This window comes from Homo sapiens, chromosome 19 (assembly GCF_000001405.40).
Source record: "Homo sapiens chromosome 19, GRCh38.p14 Primary Assembly".
NCBI classification, from domain to species: Eukaryota; Metazoa; Chordata; class Mammalia; order Primates; family Hominidae; genus Homo; species Homo sapiens.
This window is the reverse complement of record NC_000019.10, coordinates 58,010,431-58,031,537: the sequence shown is the minus strand read 5'-3', so window position 1 is coordinate 58,031,537 and position 21,107 is coordinate 58,010,431. Positions and strand designations below refer to the sequence as shown.

The 21,107-nt window shown below is 49.4% G+C and overlaps 1 pseudogene across 1 annotated transcript; it reads left to right on the top strand.

The window, feature by feature from the left end:
• Positions 1-5,948: 5,948 nt before the first annotated feature.
• Positions 5,949-19,453, top strand: VN2R19P (vomeronasal 2 receptor 19, pseudogene; annotated as a pseudogene). The gene is made up of 2 exons (NR_171678.1): positions 5,949-6,409; positions 18,112-19,453. The product of NR_171678.1 is annotated as a vomeronasal 2 receptor 19, pseudogene (transcript).
• The last annotated feature ends 1,654 nt before the right edge of the window (positions 19,454-21,107 follow it).

The following is a 21,107-nucleotide window of genomic DNA, read 5'->3' as shown; positions in this document are numbered from 1 at the left end:
CACAATCTGGAGAATGTACCAAAAACTACTGAACTGTAAAAGGTTCGGCTGGGTACAGTCACTCACGTCTGTAATCCAAGCACTTTGGGAGGCTGAGGTGGGCAGATCACTTGAGGTCAGGAGTTCAAGACCAGCCTGGCCAACATAGTGAAACCCCGTCTTTACCAAAAAATTTAAAAAATTAGCTGAGCATGGTGGTGGGTACCTGTAATCCCAGCTACTCTGGAGGCTGAGGCAAGCAAATTGCTTGAACCTGGGAGGCAGAGGTTGCAGTGGGTGAGTGGGTGGAGATTGTGCCATTGCACTCCAGACTGGGCGACAGAGTGAGACTCCATTTCAAAAAAAAAAAAAAAAAAAAAAGAAGGGTGAATTTTATGCTGTGTGAATTATATCTCAATAAAAATGTTATTTTGGCCAGGTGCAATGGCTCACACCTGTAATCCCAGCATTTTGTGGGGCCAAGGTGGGAGGATCCCTTAAACCCGGGAGTTTGAGACCAGCCTGGGCAACATGGCGAAACCCCGTCTCTACAAAAAAATAGAAAAATCAGCCAGGCATGGTGGCTATTTCTGTAGTCTCAGCTCCTCGGGAGGCTGAGTCAGGAGGATGACTTGAGCTCAGGAGTTCAAGGCTGCAGTGAGCTATGATGCATTGCCACTGCACTCCAGCCTGGGTGACAGAGTGAGACCTCATGTCTAAAAAAAAATGCAGAACTGTTTGAGTTGAAGCTATGGGAGAAGACCTAGAATCCCAGTTTGAAGGACCCCTCTTTGAACCTTTCTAAGGAAGACCGAATGTCACCCCCTTACACTCAAAAATCAACTCCAGATGGAACTGGGCCCCATCTCTACAAAAAATTTAAACATTAGCCTGGCATGGTGGCACATGCCTGTAGTCCCAGCTACTTGGGAGGCTGAGGTGGGAGGATTGCTTGATCCCAGGAGTTTGCCAGCCTGGGCGACAGAGTGAGACCTCATCTCTGAAAAGAAAAAAGATAAAAAAGGAAAAAAAAAGCTCACCAAGCCTACCCCAAGCTTAGAAAGATACTACCCTCTTACATACATGGGGCTAACCAATGTGAAGAAAAGTCCCATCTGACTAGTTAGTGATCAGGGACACACAAATCAAGAACGTGGTGAGGTTTTTTGTTGTTGTTGTTGTTGTTTTGTTTGTTTGTTTGTTTGTTTTGGAGACTAAGTCTTGCTCTGTCACCCAGGCTAGAGTACAGTGGCACGACCTTGGCTCACTGCAACCTCTGCCTCCCAGGTTCAAGCAATTCTCCTGCCTCAACCTCCCAAGTAGCTGGGACTACAGGCATGTGCCACCACGCCCAGCTAATTTTTGTATTTTTAGTAGAGATGGGATTTCACCATGCTGGCCAGGATGGTCTCGATCTCTTGACCTCGTGATCCGCCCGCCTCGGCCTCTCAGAGCGCTGGGATTACAGGCGTTAGCCACCACGCCCAGCCTCCTCAGTTCACTTTTTAGTGTGGTATTTTCTCCAAAGTGATAAGGTCTGGAATTTTTTTTTTTTTTTTTTTTCTGAGATGGAGTCTTGCTGTGTTGCCCAGGCTAGAGTGCAGTGGGGTGATCTCGGCTCACAGCAACCTCCACCTCCCAGCTTCAAGTCATTTTCCTGCCTCAGCCTCCTGAGTAGCTGGGACTACAGGCGTGTGCTACTATGCCTGGCTAATTTTTGTATTTTTAGTAGAGATGAGGTTTCACCATGTTGGCCAGGCTGGTCTTGAACTCCTGACCTCGGGTGATCTGCCTGCCCCCGCCTCCCAATATGCTGGGATTATGGCATGAGCCACTGCACCTGCCCATATTTTGCTTTTTGCTTACCTGTCCCTTCACCTTGCTTCTGCTTTTACTCAGTTTGCCCTTTATTTAACCTCCAATTCCCTCTATTTTCCTGCCTCACAGCCGCATCTCCTGGGGTTGTAAGCACTATGTTAGGGAGTCACTTTGCAGCCTACCCTCCACCCTCCGCCTGGAACTGGACTTCCTGACCACAGAAACGCACCAGCTTAGCCTGGGCCAGCCCTCTGGGGGCTGAACATGCTTTACCCTTGCCTGGGACCCTCTGGGAGCCCCCAGGCAGGAGGTGTTAACCCAGGGCCACTGAAGCTCTGGGGATGTCCCTATCTCCAAACACTGCCAACTGAGGCAGGAGGGCTCAGGAGAGTCTTCGCCTCTTGTACCCTCCTTGGGCCTCTCCAAAACCAGTGACCTGGGGACCCTAAGTGCAGCTGCTCCTGGGTTTGCAGAGTCCCTGAGGACACAGTCAGGACTCATCAACCTCCCTCTCTGAAGTCTGCAGATGAGGCCTGGGGGCTGTTACCCCTGGCCTGGGCAGAGACAAAGAAACCACAGGAGGAGGAAGTACAAGTTTTAATGGCCCTGGGACTGAGTGGCCACTGTTCTCCCAGGGCCTGGATGCCTGGAGCTCCATCTGTGTCCCCAGCCCCCAGGTCCTGGATTGAGGGGTGAGCTCCCAGATGAAAGCCCCCCATCACTGTTGGAAGCAGCCCACACGGGGGCTGCCGTTGCTGGCTGTCAGCACACCACAGACATGTTGCTGTGCTCTCTGCTTCCCGCCCTTGTGGGATCTCTCTCTGGGGCTGCTGTTTCTGGCCCAATAGGCTGGCGGTTGCCAGGGAAGAGCCCCCGCTTTGACTGTCCAGGGGATGTGGTGGTCAGGGCCAGCTTCTCCATCTTCCACCTGTACAACATCACCCTGTTTGATTTCACTGCTCCACCAGCTGGCTTGGAGTCTTCAAGGTAAGCAGCTACCAGGGTGTTTGGTGGAGAGCCCCTGAAGGCTGGGCACCTTCAGGAGTGTCCTTCTAAAGCCTCAGGCAGCAGCTGATTCTCAGAATCCCTCCTGGATGGCCGGGACTCATCCTGTCTGTCTGGATGCTGGTCAGCCTGTCTCACCGGCCCTGCCTTAGCACCTCACTCCGTTTTTCCTTCTTGCTTTCTGTCTGTGTCTGAAGCATGGGTTGCTTGTCTCCTCATTGTGCTGCAGCGACTGCACAGGTGAGGCAGAGATTCTCCCCTCTCTTGTCCACCGCCAACCCTTGGCGCTTAGAGCAGCGCCAGGCACAGGTAAGTGTGTTTGTTGAATGAACAAGTGTTTGTGGAATGAACAAATCTCTTCATGAGTTGATCAGCCCAGGGAATTTCTCTTTACCTGTGTGTGCCATCACCCATTTCTGTCCCAGGTTCCCAAACTGTCTCTGCGGACAGTTCTTCACATAGTCCCTCCGGTGATTTTTTTCTTTTTTAAAAAATGAATATGTTTATCATTTTACTTTATTTTATTTTTGGAGACAGGGTCTGGCTCTGCTGCCCAGGCTGGAGTGCAGTGGCTCAATCATAGCTCACTACAGCCTTGACCTCCCAGCTCAAGTGATCCTCCCACCTCAGCTTCTGAGTAGCTGGCACCACAGATGCATGAGACCAGACTCGGCTAATTTTTTAATTTTTTATTTACTTTTCATTTTCTATAGAGACAGAGTCTCACGTTGTGACCTAGGCTGGTTTCTAACTCCTGGGTTCAAACAATCCTCCCGCCTCAGCCTCCCAAAGTGCTGGGACTACAGGCTAGAGCCACCATGGCTGGCCTGTTTACCTTTATTTAAACATTGCCACAATGTTTTCCAAAGCAACCATTTCATTCTGCATTCTCACCAGACATACACAAGACTTCCAATCACTCCACTTGCCATCACTTGATGTTGCCAGGTTATTTTTTCTAATCAATGAATAATAATTGTATATATTTATGGGGTACAATATGATGTCTTGATATATGTATACATTATGGAATGATTAAATTGGGCTAATCAACATATCCATATCCTCACATCCTTATCATTTTTTGCAATGTGAACATTTAAGATATGATCTTTTTGCAGTTTTGAAATATACATTAATTATTGATAACTACAGTTTCCATGCTGTGCAATAGATCTGGAAACCTATTCCTCCTTGTCTAACTGAAACTTGGAGCCCTTTGACCAACATGTCCTACCCCCCGCCCCCCACCCCTTTTTGGCTGTTCTGCCCATTTTGCTATGCACATGTCATGATCAGTGCAAGGTCAGAGATAACCAGGTCCACACGTTCGTGTCTTTCCGCAATGTCAAGTGTTTACTGATGTTATTTCTTTTCTTTTCTTTTCCTTTTTTTGAGACAAAGTCTCGCTCTTGCCCCCAGGCTGGAGTGCGATGGTGTGATCTTTGCTCACTGCAACCTCCACCTCCCAGGTTCAAGCGATTCTCTTGCCTCAGCCTTCTGAGTAGCTGGGATTACAGGTACCCTCCACCATGCTCAGCTAATTTTTGAATTTTTAGTAGAGACGGGGTTTCACCATGTTGGCCAGGCTTGTCTCGAACTCCTGACCTCAGGTGATCCGCCCGTCTTGGCCTCCTAAAGTGCTGGGATTACAGGCGTGAGCCACCGCACCCGGCCTACTGATGTTATTTCAATCACAAAAGCCATGAGCTACATGGAGTTCCCAAGGAGCCAATTATCCCTTGTGCTTCTCATTCACTTGGTAGTCAGAGCCACAGGCACGGAGGCTCAAGCCACTCCACAAGCAGTTAATATTGCAAACCATACATAATAGTATACTTAATATAGAAATGTTATAGGTTAAACATTCCACAACCAACAAAGTGACATTTAACATCAAGAGAAAAAAGAGATAGGAGAAAGAGTTAAGGAACCAGTTCAGAGGCAGCGAAGAAGACAAAAGGCATCCTGGTCTGGGCCAGGCGGTGGGTGGGTGGTCTGTGAGGTCGGTGGTCTGCCATCCTGCAAGGAAGTCTTTGAGGTGGCAGAGCCTTTGGCCACAGAGGCTGAGTTATCATGAGTGACTGCAAAACAGTGTCAGTTAAAACAGCCATTTTGAGCTCCTGAAGGCCTAATTTTCTTTTTCTTTTATTATTATTTTTTAAGACAAGAGTTTTGCTCTGTCACCCGGGCTGGTGTGCAATGGCACGATCTCGGCTCACTGCAACCTCTGCCTCCCGGGTTCTTGTGATTCTCCTGCCTCAGCCTCCCGAGTAGCTGGGATTACAGGTGCACACCACCATGCCCGGCTAATTTTTTTGTATTTTTATTAGAGATGGGGTTTCACTACATTGGCCAGGCTGATTTTGAACTCCTGACCTCAAGTGATCCTCCTGCCTTGACCTCCCAAAGTGCTGGGATTACAGGCATGAGCCACCGTGCCCGAGAAGGCCTAATCTTTTATAGTCACCTAGTAGTCCCCTGGTGAGAACTGGCAGTGGAAGAGTGTGCTTGTGTCCTTACCTGGTTAGGTGCAGTCTTTTTTTTTTGTTGTTTAATAAACAGAACATCCTATCCTTGATGGCAGAGTGTCCTATGAAATATAAAATGGAGTCTTTTGCTAAGATGTAGTTATGTCAAGTCTGATGTATAGGCTACATCGTGCACAAGCGCTTGTGGAGACTTGTGGCCTCATCCCCTTTGAGTGTGCATAAGCCATAGCCTCTGCAGCTACAGCATGCGGTAAGCCTGGGCTTCTCCTTCCCTCAGCGTTTCCACCTGGGGCTACTGGGAAGCCCAAGGATTCACATTTGCCATGGAGGAGATCAACAGGGACGCCCACCTGCTCCCCAGCCTCAGGCTGGGCTTCTCCATCCGGAACTCTGGGTGAGAGGTGAAACCGGTTGGGCTTCCAGGTAGGGTGGTGACTTGGAGAACTTTTCTGTCTAGCTAAAGGATTGTAAGTGCACCAATCAGCACTCTGTGTCTAGCTAAAGGTTTGTAAACGCACCAATCAGCACTCAATCAAAACGGACCAATCAGCTCTCTGTAAAACGGACCAATCAGTGCTCTGTAAAATGGACCAATCAGCAGGATGTGGGTGGGGCCAGATAAGGGAATAAAAGCAGGCCACCCGAGCCGGCGGTGGCAGTCTGTTGGGCTTTCCTTCCAGTTTGTGGAAGTTTGTTGTTTTGCTGTTTGCGATAAATCCTGCTGATGCTCTTTCTGTGGGTCTATACTACCTTTATGAGCTGTTATACTAACTGCGAAGGTCTGTGGCTTCACTTCTGAAGCCAGCAAGACCACGAATCCAACGGGAGGAATGAACAACTCCAGATAAGAACTGTAGTAACACTCGCCGTGAGGGTCCGCAGCTTCATTGTTGAAGTCAGCTACACCAAGAACCCACTGGAAGGAACCAATTCTGGACACAGGGGGACTTCGTGCACGCAGCACTCCATGAGACCATGAGCTTTCTCACCGGGCAGGAGGAGCCCATCCCCAGCTACACGTCTGGGCCCAGCGCTCTCGGAGCTGCTTTGGAGAAACATGCTTGGCGTTGTCTATGCCAATGGCCAGGCTCCTGGGACTCTACAGGTTTCTCCAGGTAAGTACTCAGAGCCGTACCCTCCCCTAATATTTGCTGTGGTATTGGCCACAATGGGGGTGACGCTGAGGCCCTACCACGGAGGGTCCTGGCTCCCCGCCAATGCCCTACAGCCTGACGCCATCCTCCCCCTCACCATGACCTCTCTGTAAGAGAATGGTGATCGCTGCTGCATTCACCAGGACACTGAGATTGAGGGAACTAGCAGTGACACGTTGCAGCTCACCCAGCACTGGGGCGCTGAAGCTGGGTTTTGAGTCCAGGCCATAGGGCTTGTGCCGCCAGCCTCCACACGGCCCCGCCCCGCTGGGGCCTCCTGACTCTCAGGCCCTCGGGTGTCATTCCCATAATAGTAGCTATGTCTAGAGGCAACTTTTTTTTTCTGTTTATTTTATGTATGTATGTGGGTGTATTGAGATGGAGTCTTGCTGTTTCCCAGGGTGGAGTGCAGTGGCACGATCTCAGCTCACTGCAATCTCCGCCTCCCGGGTTCAAGCGATTCTCCTGCCTCAGCCTCCCGAGTAGCTGGGTTTCCAGGCGCCCCCTACCACCTCCCGGCTAATTTTTGTATTTTTAGTAGAGACGGTGTTTCCCCACGTTGGCCAGGATGGTCTGGAACTTCTGTCCTTAGGTGATCTGCCCACCTCGGCCCCACGAAGTGCTGGGATCACAGGTGTGAGCCACTGTGCTGGGGCATTTTAATTTTTTTAGTGATGGGGTCTCTGTCGCTCAGGCTGGAGTGCAGTGGCATGATCACGGCTCACTGCAGCCTCGATTTGCTAGGCTCAAGCAGTCCTCCGGCCTGAGATATAATCCACATACCGCGTAACTCACTCATGGCTTTTGGTATGTTCGAGTTGTGTAGCCATCCCCACAGCCAATTTGAGAACATTTTCATCACCCCACAAGGAAACCCCAACCCCTTTAGCCAGCAGTTTCCATCAGCTCCACCTGCCGGCAACCACTAATGTATGTTTTGTCTGTACAGATTTGCTTTTTCTGGATACTTCCTATAAACGGAATCATACGCTGTGTGGTCCTTTGTGACTGGCTTTTCTCACTAAATATATTTTCAAGGTTCATCCACGTTGCAGCCTGTGTCAGAGCGTCGTTCCCTTCTATTGATTAATTTTCCATCATAGGCTGGGTATAGTGGCCCTGTGGGAGGCCAAGGTGGGAGGATTGCTTGATGTCAAGAGGTCAAGACCAGCCTGGGCAACATAGGGAGACTCCATTTCTACAGGAAAAAAAAAAAAAAATTAGTGGCATGCAGCTGTAGTCCTGGGTACTCAGAAGGCTGAGGCAGGAGAATCACTTGAGTCGGGGGGCGGGGGGGGTGGGTCAAGGGTGCAGTGAGCTATAATCGTACCACTATAATCCAGCTTGGGCAACAGTGCAAGACCCTGTCTTAAAAATCCGTTGTATGAATAGAGCATGTCGTGTGTATCCATTTATTAGTTGATGTATATTTGAACTGTTTCCATTTTGGGCCTACTGTGAATAGGGCTGCTATGAACATTTATGTATCCGTTTTTGTGTGTATGTTCAGTGTGTTTTCAATTCTCTTGGTTGTATGGGTAGAATTTCTGGGCCAAATGTTCATGCTATGATTAACTATCTGAGGAGCTGCTGGAGTGTTTTCCAAAGCAGCGCACCATTTTACATTCCCACCAGCATTGTATGACGAGTCCAATTTAATAGATTCATGTTCCACTGAGAAACCTGTAAATTTGGGTTTACAGGATTCCTCTGCCCTTGAACGCCTTAAATTTGCAAAGTTTGCTGGCCTGCTGGGGGAGAGGCCTGCCTTCCTACCTGTGAAGCAGGGGGCCCTGTAAATCACAGAACAGGTTGGAAGGGTTTTCCTGGGGCGGTGTGAATGTTGGGGCCACAAAGAAAGCTCACCCCTTCACCCCTTACTCCTTCAGGGTGGGTTGTCATGTATTGGGGAGTTTATTCTGAGGTGTGACACTTCAGGTATGGGCTTGATCGTACGATCAATTTAGTCCAGTCCTATCCTGATAAAAAGGAGAGTTGATTTCTATAGAACCTCTGCAAATAACCGCATAGCTATTCTAGGTGCTTTTAACCCCAAAGTATCAAGCCAGGCTGATTTTTTTCCAAGAATTCACCTTGATTACTTCCCACTTGGATTCTTACATAAAATGCTTCTGAACTAGAAGTTTCTATATGTAGACTTTCTTTTCTTTCCTTTTAATTCAAGCACATTTAAAGGATTAGAGACTCAATTTTTTTTTTCCTTTTTGAATTTTTTTGAGACGAAGTCTGACTCTTGTCGCCCAGGCTGGAGTGCGGTGGTGCGATCTCGGCTCACTGCAACCTCTGCCCCCTGGGTTCAAGCAATTCTCCTGTCTCAGCCTCCCAAGTAGCTGGGACCACAGGTGCCCGCCGCCATGACCGGCTAATTTTTGTATTTTTAGTAGAGATGGGGTTTCACTATGTTGCCCAGTCTGGTCTCAAACTCCTGACCTCAGGTGATCCACCCGCCTCAGCCTCCCAAAGTGCTGGAATTACAGGCGTGAGACACTGCGCCTGGCCTTTTTTAAAACAAAACAAAACAAAACAAAACAAAACTCTCCCTGTGTTGCCCAGGCTGGCCTGCAACTCCTGGGCTTGTGATCCACCTCAGCCTCCCAGTGTTGGGTTTACAGGCATGAGCCACTGCGTGCAGCTGCAACTGCATTTCTTGACTGCAGCTCAAGAAGCTGTTTTCCTGTACCTGTAGGGTTGCCAGATAAAACAGTACCCCCAGTGAAATTTGGTTTTCAGATAAACAATGAATAGTCCTTTTTAGTAGAATTTGGTCCCAAATATTGCACAGGACATACAAGACATACTTATGCTAAAATATTAGATGAATTTATCTGAAATTTAAACTTAATTGGGTATCCTGTTTTTTTATTTTCAAATCTGTTAGCTCTACCTGTTGCGTCAGCCTTATGGGTCTGTGTAAACCAATCAGACCAGAGCACCGTTCCGTTCAGACCCCATAACCTTTGCATAGCCTATTTCCTTACTACCCTCTGGCGGTAGGAGAATGTTTTGCACCCACACGAGGAGCGTGTTAAAGTCTCTGATCCAACAGACCCCAGAGACCGAGCAGTTTCATCCTGTGCCTCAGCCACAGGTCAGAAGCAAACACAGACACAAAACCTCGTTGACCCCGATTTCATAGAACTTTATCTTCCGGGGCACGAAGAGTAGTCTCTTCATTGGCAAATCGACAAGCAGGCAAAAACTGACAAAGATCACAGCGTGGCCAAACAACACAAGTAGGTTCCGAGTCATTGCCACTGCCAGTGAAGAACTGTCCGTCCGCGCTGTGTGAACCGTAACTAGAATCCGAACCCCAGGCCCGGCATGGTGGCTCCAGCCTGTAACCCCAGAGTTGTCCACGCTGTGGAAACCGGAACTAGAGTCCGAATCCCAGGCCCCGCACGGTGGCTCCAGCCTGTAGCCCCAGAGTTGTCGGCGCTGTGCAAACCGGAACTAGAATCGGATCCCCAGGCCTGCTGAGGCAGGAGGATCACGTGAGCCCAGGAATTTTAAGACCAGGCTGGGAAACATAGACCCCATCTCTACAAAATAATTTTTTTTAACTGGGGGTGGTGGGTGGTGCACATCTGTAGTCCCCTGAGGCAGGAAGATCTCTTGAGCCCAGTAGGTGGAGGATGTAGTGAGCTGTGTTCCTGCCACTGCACTCTAGCCTGGGTGACAGTAAAACCCTGTCTCAAAAAAAACAAACAAAAACCCAGCTTGGCAAAGGAGCAGAAACGTAAGTTTGAAGTGGGCAAAACGAGAGGAATGAACATTAAGTTCAATTATTCCTTGGGGCTGGGTGCTGCGGCTTACAACTGTAATCCCAGCACTCTGGGAGGCTGAGGCAGGCCGATCACGTGAGGTCAGGAGTTTGAGACCAGCCTGGCCTCAAGTGATCTGCCCACTTCTGCCTCCCAAGGTGCTGGGATTACAGGTGTGAGCCACCACATCTGGCCTTTTTCTTTCTTCCTTTCCTTTTCTCCTTTTTTTTTTTTTCTGTGCCTGCTTGGCTCGCTCTCTCTCCCCTCCTCCATCCCTCCCTCCCTCCCTCCCTCCTCTCCCTCCCTCCCTCCCTTCTTCCCTTCCTGCCTGCCTTCCCTCCTGTTTCTCTGTCTGACTCTGTCTCTCTGTCTCTGTCTCTGTCTGTCTCTGTCTGTCTCTTCCTCTGTGTGTCTCTGTGTCTGTCTCTCTCTCTCTCTCTCTGTGTGTGTGTCTCTCTTTCTGTGTGTGTCTCTTTAGAGTAGGGGGTCATACTGTGTTGCCCAAGCTAGTCTCGACCTCCTGGGCTCTAGCAGTCCTCCCACCTTGGCCTCCCAAAGCCCTGGGATGTACGTGAGCCACCATGCCCAGACTTATGTGGGAATTTTTTTTTTTTTTTGAGACGGAGTCTCATTCTGTCACCCAGGCTAGGGTGCAGTGGTGCGATTTCGGCTCGCTGCAACCTCGGCCTCCAGGGTTCAAGCGATTCTCCTGCCTCAGCCTACCAAGTAGCTGGGATTACAGGCACCCACCATCATGCCTGGCTAATTTTTGTATTTTTAGTAGAGATGGGGTTTCACTATGTTGTTGGCCAGGCTGGTCTTGAACTCCTGACCTCAAGTGATCTGCCCGCCTTGGCCTCTCAGTGCTGTGATTATAGGTGTGAGCTTTCAGTGACAAAATTGGGGGACACACCCAGGGCCACCAGGGACGTGTGGGTCAACCTGGCTTTCTTTTGAACCTGGTGGTCAGCAGGTGCCTGAGCTGCTCCTCACCCCTCCCCATTGCCCTGGCCTCTTCCTGCACAGGTCAGCCCCTCCTCCACACTGGCCAGCCTCAGCGACAGGACCCAGTTCCCATCCTTCTTTCAGACCCTGCTCAGTCACCTCACGACCACCCATGCAGTGGTGCAGCTGATGCTTCACTTCCGATGGTCTTGGGTGAGCGTCCTGGCGCAGGGGGACGACTTTGAGCTGCAGGGCAGGTCTCTGGTCGTCCAGGAGCTGGGCCAGGCTGGGGTCTGCATTGAATTCCAACTCTGCATCCCCACCCGGGAGTCCCTGAAGATGAAAAACATCATCTGGCTGATGGAGAACTGTACGGCCACCATCATCCTGGTTTTCCTTAACAGCTAGCACTTCAGACTCATCCTGCAGTGCCTGGCAGGCCGAGGCATCCTGGGCCAGGTCTGTGTCAGCTGGGACACTCTGCACATGGCGCTGGTCCTGACTGTGCCAGTGCCTTCTGGGTTCTGCAGGGCTCATTCAGCCTCCTGCTTTGCAACAGCCAGCCCCCCGACTTCCCTGCGCCTTGCCAGGACCCCAGAAGACATGTTCATATGGAGATTCTGGGAGGTCACCTTCAAGTGCACATAGCCCCATAGCAGCTGGGGGCCAGCAGGGAAAAGCACAGCGGCTGCAGGAGTCCAGTTCTGCTCAGGAAATGAGAGTCTGAGGGTTGAGCACTACCCTTTCCAGAAGGAAAGCAAAGTACACATCGCCTACACAGTGGTCTATGCCATCGCCCAGGCCCTGGCAGGCTGCAAGCATGGGGACCAGGGGTGTGCCGATGCCTGGGACTTCCAGCCCTGGCTGGTGAGAGGCGAACGTGTGGAGTGGGGCTGAGCATGGTGGCTCACGCCTGTAGTCCCAGTACTTTGGGAGACCAATGTGGGAGGATCATTCGAGCCCAGGAGTTCAAGATCAGCCAGGGAAACACAGTAAGACACTGAATCTACAAAAAAATTTTTAAATCAGCCAAGCATGGGCTGGGCACAGTGGCTCACGCCTGTAACCCCCACATTTTGGGAGGCAGAGGCAGGTGGATTACGAGGTCAGGAGATCTCGAGACCATCCTGGCTAACACAGTGAAACCCCATCTCTGCTAAAAATACAAAAAATTAGCCAGGCGTGATGGTGGGCGCCTGTAGTCCCAGCTACTCAGGAGGCTGAGGTAGGAGAATTCCTTCAACCTGGGAGGGCAGAGCTTGCAGTGAGCCGAGATTACACCACTGCACTCCAGCCTGGGTGACAGAGCGAGACTATCTTTAAAAAAAAAAAAGTCGTGATGGTGCACGCCTCTAGTCACAACTACTTGGAAGGCTCAGGTGTGAGGATCGCTTGAGCCCAGGAGGTTGAAGCTACAGCAAGCCATGATGGTGCCACTGCACTCCAGCCTGGGCAACAGAGTAAGACCTTGTCTCAAAAACAAACTGTGGAGTAGATGATTCAGGGAAGGGGAGACAGCAGGAAACTCACTTGGTCTCCTGGTGGGGAGGACAGGGGCAGTGCTCCTCAGTGAGGATATCTTGTATTCACAGCCCTAAGCCACATCTTAGCAGGAGCACTGGACGAAGATTTTTTTTTTTTTGAGACGGAGTTTCGCTCTGTCCAGGCTGGAGTGCAATGGTGTGATCTCAGCTAACTGCAACCTCTGCCTCCTGGGTTCAAGCAATTCTTCTGCCTCAGCCTTCTGAGTAGCTGGGATTATAGGCATGTGCCATCACGCCTGGCTAATTTTGTATTTTTAGTAGAGATGGGGTTTCACCATGTTGGTCAGGCTGGTTTTGAATTCCTGACCTCAGATGATTTGCCCACCTTGGCCTCCCAAAGTGCTAGGATTACAGGCATGAGCCACCGTGCCGGGCTGAGGAATTTTTTGTTTTGTTTTGTGTTAAGACAGTGCCTTGCTTTGTTGTTCAAGCTGGAATACAGTGATGCATTCACAGCTCACTGCAGTCTCAACCTCCTGGGCTCAAGCGATCCTTCAGCCTCCCGAGTAGCTGGGACTACAAGCATGCACCACCACGCCCAGCTAATTTTTGTATTTTCACCATGATGCCCAGGCTGGTCTCAAACTTCTGGGCTCAAGCGATCTGTCCACTTTGGGGTAAGTGTTGGGATCACAGGCATAAGCTACCATGCCTGGCCAGGATGAGGGGTCTTAAGTCCATGCTAGGTTTGTGACTGAGGGATCAGGATGTCTAGGTGTTCAGGGACTGACCTGTGTAGGTCCCGCCAGGATTTTACTCCACTTGGAGTGTGATGGGAAGGCCAAGGAGGAAGTGTTTGCTCAGACGGAATCCCTGGAGCAGGGGCCACACTGTGGCTTTTGTGCGTTCCTTCCTCCGTGGAAAAAAAAATTCTTAATTCAATTTTACCATTGCCTTGGTCTAAAGATGAATATATCCTGGGTTGGACTCATTATTATATGTTCATTATTACTTTTTTTTGAGACAGAGTCTTGCTCTGTCGCCCAGGCTGGAGCGTAGTGGCATGATCTTGGCTCACTGCAACCTCCGTCTCCCGGGTTCAAGTGACTCTTCTGCCTCAGCTTCCTGAGTGGCTGGGATTACAGGCGTGAGCCACCACGCCTGGCTAATTTTTGTATTTTTGGTAGGGACGGCATTTCACCATATTGGTCAGGCTGGTCTTGAGCTCCTGACCTCGTGATCTGCCTGCCTCGGCCTCCCAAAGTGCTGGGACCACAGGCTTGAGCCACCGTGCATGGCCCATTAATTACTTTTTAATTTTTTTCTTTGCTTTTACAAGCAGTTAACATTAGAACATTTTCATGGGACCCTGCAAATATCACAGCCCTGGGTCTCCCGTGCCTCATGGATACGTTGGCCCTGCCTGAGGCAGCCCCTGCTCACCACGGTGGCTGAGGACCTGATGCATTTTGCACAGGCCCTGGGACTGGCCCTGCCCATCTACAGTGTCATCCATCCTTCCCCAGCTGCTTCGTCCTCTCAAGAACGTGCATTTCAAGACCCCTGATGGGACAGAGATCATGTTTGATGCCAACGGAGATTTAATTACAGAATTTGATGTTGTCTATGGACAGAAGACCACTGAGGGCTGATTCCACTTTGTCCACATAGGCATAGTCAACCCGTGAGCCCCTCTGGGAGACAGAATGACAGTGCATGTGACAAAGGAGGACCTCTAGGTCAGTTTCCAGGGTGCAGAAATGATCCCAGTTCTGGTGTATTCGAGTCAGAGGGAAGCACAGAGGCCAGCGGTGTCCCTATTTGGTACATGAAGTTGGTGCAGCTCTAAATTAGGCCAGTCATAACTCAGCTATGCTGTTTAGGGATACTGAGCCCTTCTCTGAGTGAGGAAAGACATTTGCTCACCACCCAAAATGAAAATATTAGTGTCACACAAGCTGAATCAGAGTCTCCATCAGGAGTTTTTTCTGTAGTATTTTTCAGTGTGTCAGTATTCCAGGATCTGCCCAGTGAATACACTTTGCCAAACACATAGTTAATCTATAATCTGTAGAAACAATGCTTATCACTGGTTTGCTGTCAATAAATATGTGGGTAAATCTCTGTTGGAGGCTCTCAGCTCTGAAGGCTGTGAGATCCCTGATTTCCCACTCCACACCCCTGTATTTCTGTGTGTGTGTCTTTAATTCCTCTAGCACCGCTAGGTTAGGGTCTCCCCGACTGAGCTGGTCTCGGCACTTATTATTAACAGTGGCTGAAAGAGAATGAATAAAGGTCATTATTATTAGGTAAATGTTTTATTGAAATATATAGACAAATGCATAGATCATAAGCGTGCAGCCCAATGAATTCTCACCTGGCAAACATTCCGTGTCCCTGGTCCTCTCATCAAGAAACAGGGCACAACCTGGCCCTCCCAGAAGCTTTCATACCCCTCCCAGCCATTGTCTTCTCCCTGCGACCCATCCACCGCCCTGACTTCTATTGGTGTCAGTGGGTTTTGCTTGATTTTTAAACGTCCTATAAGTGGAATCACACAGTGAGTGTTCTTTTGTGTCTTGCTTTTTCCTCCCAGTTGTTTGTGAGATTCATCCTAGTGGTGGTTATGTGTGGTTGTGGATCTCTTGTTCTAATGACTGGTGAGATCCCATTGTGCGGACGCACCACGGCTGCTTCATCCACTCCAACAGGGATGGGGGATTTGAGAAGCCTGCTGATCAGCGGCTGCAATGAGCCGTGTCTCATTGTTGTGTCTTTTGGGGACATACAGGTGAATTTCTGTTGGGTGTGGCATTGCTGGGCCACAGGTAGACATACCTGCAGCTTTTTTTTTTCTTTTATTTGAGAAGAGGTCTCACTCTGTTGCCCAGGCTGGAGTGCAGTGGTGTGAACGTGGTTCACTGCAGCCTTGATCTGGGCTCAAGAGATCCTCCTACCTCAGCCTCCCGAGTAGCTGGGACTACACGTACATGCCACCCCACCATGCTTGGCTAATTTTTTAAAAAATTATTTTTATAGAGACAGGGACTCATTATGTTTCCCAGGCTGTTCTTGAACTCCTGAGCTCAAGCAATCCTCCTGCCTCAGCTTCCCAAAGTGCAGGGATTATAGGCATGAGGCACCATGCCAGGCCATACCTGTGGCTTTAACAGACACTGGTGGTGCTTCCAGTTCACACTCCCACTGTGAGTGTAGGCAATGCCCAGTTGCTCCCTGCATTAGTTTCTATAGCTGCTGTTAACAAATTACCACAAGCGTATGAAACAAAGCACATTTCTTATCTCACAGTTTTTATGGTTCAAAAGTCCGAGTGCAGCCGAGTGTGGTGGCTCAGACCTGTAATCCCAGCACTTTGAGAGGCCAAGGTGGAAGGATTGCTTGAGTCCAGGAGTTCAAGACCAGCCTGGGCAACAGGGTGAGGCCCCTGTCTTTACAAAAACAATAATAAAAAAAATAGCTGGGTGTGGTGGTGCATGCCTGTAGTTCCAGCTACTTGGGAGGCTGAGGGGGAAGATGGCTTTACCTGGGAGGTGGAGGTTGCAGTGAGCTGTGATCGAGCCACTGCTTTCCAGCCTGGGTGTCAAGAGTGAGACCCTGTCTCAAACAACAAAACAAAAAGAGCAGTTGTTGTTACTACTTGGAAAAAATTAACCATTTTAAAAAAACATGCAAACATGTATACGGGGCGTGTATTTTTCCTTGTGCCTCAGGATCTAATGTGGCCCATCCCATCACTGGTATCTCAAAATTATAAATCTGTGGGGGAAAGAAAGAGATCAGACTGTTACTGTGTCTATGTAGAAAAAGGAAGACATAAGAAACTCCATTTTGATCTGTACTAAGAAAAATTCTTCTGCCTTGAGATGTTGTTAATCTGTAACCCTAGCCCCAACCCTGTGCTCACAGAAACGTGCTGTATTGACTCAAGGTTTAATGGAGTTAGGGCTGTGCAGGATGTGCCTTGGTAAACATGTGTTTGCAGGCAGTATGCTTGGTAAAAGTCATCGCCATTCTCCAGTCTCGAGTACCCAGGGACACAATGCACTGCGGAAGGCCGCAGGGACCTCTGCCTGAGAAAGCCTGGGTATTGTCCAAGGTTTGCCCCCCTGAGACAGCCTGAGATGTGGCCTCGTGGGAAGGGAAAGACCTTACCGTCCCCCAGCCTGACACCTGTAAAGGGTCTATGCTGAGGAGGATTAGTGAAAGAGGAAGGCCTCTTTGCACTTGAGATAAGAGGAAAGCCTCTGTCTCCTGCTCCTCATCCCTGGGAATGGAATGTCTCGGTAGAAAACCTGATTGTACATTCCATTTACTGGGATAGGAGAAAACTGTCTTACGGCTGGAGGTGAGACATGCTGGTGGCAGTACTGCTCTTTACTGCACTGAGGTGTTTGGGTAAAGTCAAACATAAATCTGGCCTACGTGCACATCCAGGTGTGATACCATACCTTGTTTTAATATGAATACTCTCTCTTAGCTGAGAAAGCTGGATGGACTCCATTTAGCTCCTTCATTTGCAAGACCTCAAGGGCTCCTTACCCACTCCCTTCCTCAAGGACTTAACTTGAGCAAGCTGACTCTCAGCATATCAAAGAGTGCAATTAACTGATAAGGTACTGTGGCAGGCTATGTCTGCAGTTGCCAGGAATTCACTGGGGTAATAGTACCCTAAAGCCCCCGCGTTTGTGTCTGGCAGATAGCACCCAGAGCCCCCGCACCTATCACCTTGTGATGGATTTAAAGCCTCTGTACCTGGAACTGTTTGTTTTCCTGTAACCATTTGTCTTTTTAACTTTTTTTTTTGCCTGCTTTACTTCTGTAAGATTGCTACAGCTAGGTTCCCCCTCCTCTAAACCAAAGTATAAAAGAAAATCTAGCCCCTTCTTCGGGGCTGAGAGAATTTTGAGCACTAGCCATCTCTCGGTCACCGGCTGATAAAGGACTCCTGAATTAGTCTCAAAGTGTGGCGTTTCTCTATAACTTGCTTGGTTACATCACAGGCACAGCACCTTTCCTTAAACTTATTTATGACACAGAGTCCTTTGCTCACATGTTTTCCTGCTGACCCTCTCCCCACCATTACCGTGTAGTCCTGCCACATCCCCCTTGCCAAGATGGTAGAGATAGTGATCAATAAATACTGAGGGAACTCAGACTGCTGCTGGTGTGGGTCCTCTGTATGCTGAGTGCCGGTCCCCTGGGCCCACTTTTCTTTCTCTACACTTTGTCTCTGTGTCTTATTTCTTTTCTCAGTCTCTTGTCTCCACCTTGCGAGAAATACCCACAGGTGTGGAGGGGCAGGCCCCCTTCAATCAGTAATGAATAGGTGTGAAACGCTGGTAAGGCTGGTTTAGTGCATAGGGAGCCTTCCTTCACATGGCTGGTGTCATTACGATCCTGTGGCAGACGCAGGGATGTGTGTCTCCCACAGGTACGAAGAGATGTCTTCTGTGCCCAGAGGAGCAGTACTCAAGCCGCACCAGAGATGGCTGCCTGCCCAGGACAGAGACCTTCCTGGCCTTTGACGACCCCCTGGGACTCATGCTCGCCTTGGTGGCGCTCATGCTGGCCAGCCTGGCAGTGCTGGTCCTCAGACTGTTCTGAAGCACCGAGACACACCTGTGGTCGGGGCCAACAACAGAGCTCTCAGCTGCACGCCGCTCACCTCCCTGACCCTCTGTGCCCTCTGTCCCTTGCCTTGCCTTGGTTGTCCCACAGCTGCCACCTGCCGCCTCTACCAGACCACAGTTGCTGTTGTGTTCACCATGGCTGTCTCTTCCGTCCTGGCCTTCAGGGTCACCAGGTGACAGGGTCTGGGTGTGCCTGGGACCTGGCGCTTCCACCTCGGTGGTCCTTGCTGCTTCCTTGGTGCAGGTTGTTCTCTGTGGCATCTGGCTGGGCACTTCCCCACCATTCCCAGATGGGGACATGGCCTCAGAGCCCAGCCACATTGTCATCCAGTGCTGAGAGGGCTCTGCTGTCGCTTTCTCCTGTGTGCTGGGCTACCTGGGCCTCCTGGCTGGGGGCACCTTCTTTGTAGCCTTCCTGGCCAGGGGTCTGCCAGACGCCTTCAACAAGTCCAAGTTCCTCACCTTCAGCGTGCTGCTGTTCTGCAGCTTCTGGACAACCTTCCTGCCCCTGTACCACAGCGCACAGGGCAAGTCCACTGTGGCCGTGGAGATCTTTTCCATCCTGGCTTCCATGGCAGGGCTGCTGGGTGGCATCTTTGCCCCAAATGTTACATCATCCTGCTAAAGCCCGAGCGGAATGCCCCAGACTGGGTGAGGCGAGGACACTGGGATCGGTGGGAAACGTGGAGCCAGGAGCTCCTCAGACCTGCGCCATAAACCCACGAGCCAGGCCTTGTTGAAGATATCAGGGCCCCTGATTTGAGCTCTGGGCTTCTGTGTGGATTAAAAGATAGTTAAAGGATGGGCGTGGTGGCTCACGCCTGTAATCCTACCACTTTGGGAGGCTGAGATGGGCAGATCACTTGAGGTCAGGAGTTCAAGACCAGCCTGGCCAACATGGTGAAACCCTGTCTGTACTCAAAATACAAAAATTAACCAGGTGTCGTGGTGTGCACCTATAATCCCAGCTACTTGGGAGGCTGAGGCAGGAGAATCACTTGAACCTGGGTGGCAGAGGTTGCAGTGAGCCAAGATCATGCCATTGCACTCCAGCCTGGGTGACAGAGCAAGACTCCATCTCAAAAAAAAAAAAAAAAAAAAAAAAAAAGAATAAAAGATAAAATTCAACAATAAGAAAACAAGCAATTTCAGCTACTTTTTTTTTAAAGCCAAGCAAAGCATTTGAACACAGTTCACCACAAAATATGCAAATGGAAAGGAAGTATATGAAAAGATGTTTAATGTTAGTAATTAGGGAAATCAAAACTACAGTGCAATACCCAATACACACCTATTAGAATTGCAAAAAATAAACCATATCATGTTGCCAAGGATATGGAGGAATTACAACTCTTATACAGTCCTTGTCCATGATTCAACTTATGATTTTTCAAAATTATGATGGTATACAAGCTATACAAATTCAGTACTCTCCTCAACTTGACGGATTTATTTGGGTATTGTAAATCATTTGATTCATGGTATTTTCAGTTTACCATGGGCTTATTTGGACCTAACCCTATCGTAGTTCAGGAGCATCTGTGTATTGCTGGTGGGAATGTGAAACGGTACAAACACTTTGGAAAACAAATGGAGAGTTTCTTAAAATGTTGAACTTTCGTGGGGCATGGTGGCTCACGCCTGTAATCCAGCACTTCGGAAGGCTGAGGCGGGTGGATCACGAGGTCAGGAGATTGAGACCATCCTGGCTAACACGGTGAAACCCCGTCTCTACTAAAATGAAAAAATTAGCTTGGTGTGGTGGTGGGCGCCTGTAGTCCCAGCTACTCGGGAGGCCGAGGCAGGAGAATGGTGTGAACCGCGGAGGCGGAGTTTGCAGTGAGCCGAGATCGCGCCACTCCACTCCAGTCCGGGCGACAGAGTGAGACTCCATCTCAAAAAAAAAAAGTTGAATTTTCATTTCCTATATGATCCAGCCATTCTACGCCTAGGCATTTATCCAACAGGAAAGGAAATGCGTGTCCTTAGGAAGACTTGTACACGAATGTTCACAGAAGTTTATTTTTAACAGCCGCAAATAGAAAACAGTTTACATGTCCACGGACAGATGCGTGATAAACAATGGTGGTGCATCCATGAGATGGAACACCACTCAGCAATAGAAGGAATGAGCTACTTACATATGCAACAAAATGGATAATCTCAAAATAATTATGCTGAGTAAAATAAACCAGATCACAAAAGAGTACACTCAAATGTGTCACTGCATTTATATACAACTGTTAGAAAATCCAAACTAATCTGTATATATAACAGAAAGCAGATTGGCGGTGGTTTGAAAGCAGGGCAGAGAGGGGCGTGGAATGCTGAACGGAGGGGCTTCAAGGATCTTGGGAAACCAGAGCTAGTGATGGTTTTGCGGGTTTAGATATTTGCCAAAACGCATGCAGGCGAGCGCCGTGGGAGGGAGGGAGGGCGGGTGCACAGCCGCCGGCCGCCCGGGGCTGGAGGACGCGCTTGCTGCCTGACAGGGTTCCCCCAACATCCCCGGGGCCGCGACTGAAGTGGCTGAGGCCAACCGAGGGCCCAAAGCGCCCGTGGCTTCGGCTGGGCGGGTTCTTAATATTTTATTACATATATATATGCATATATATATTTACGCATATATTTATGTATGTGTACACATACATGTATATATTATAAACTATATACAAATTATACAAAATATATGTAATTAAATATACATACATATGTACATAATTTTATTTATTTTGGAGACAGGATCTCACGCTGTCGCCCAGGCTGGAGTGCAGTGGCAGGATCATAGCTCACTGCA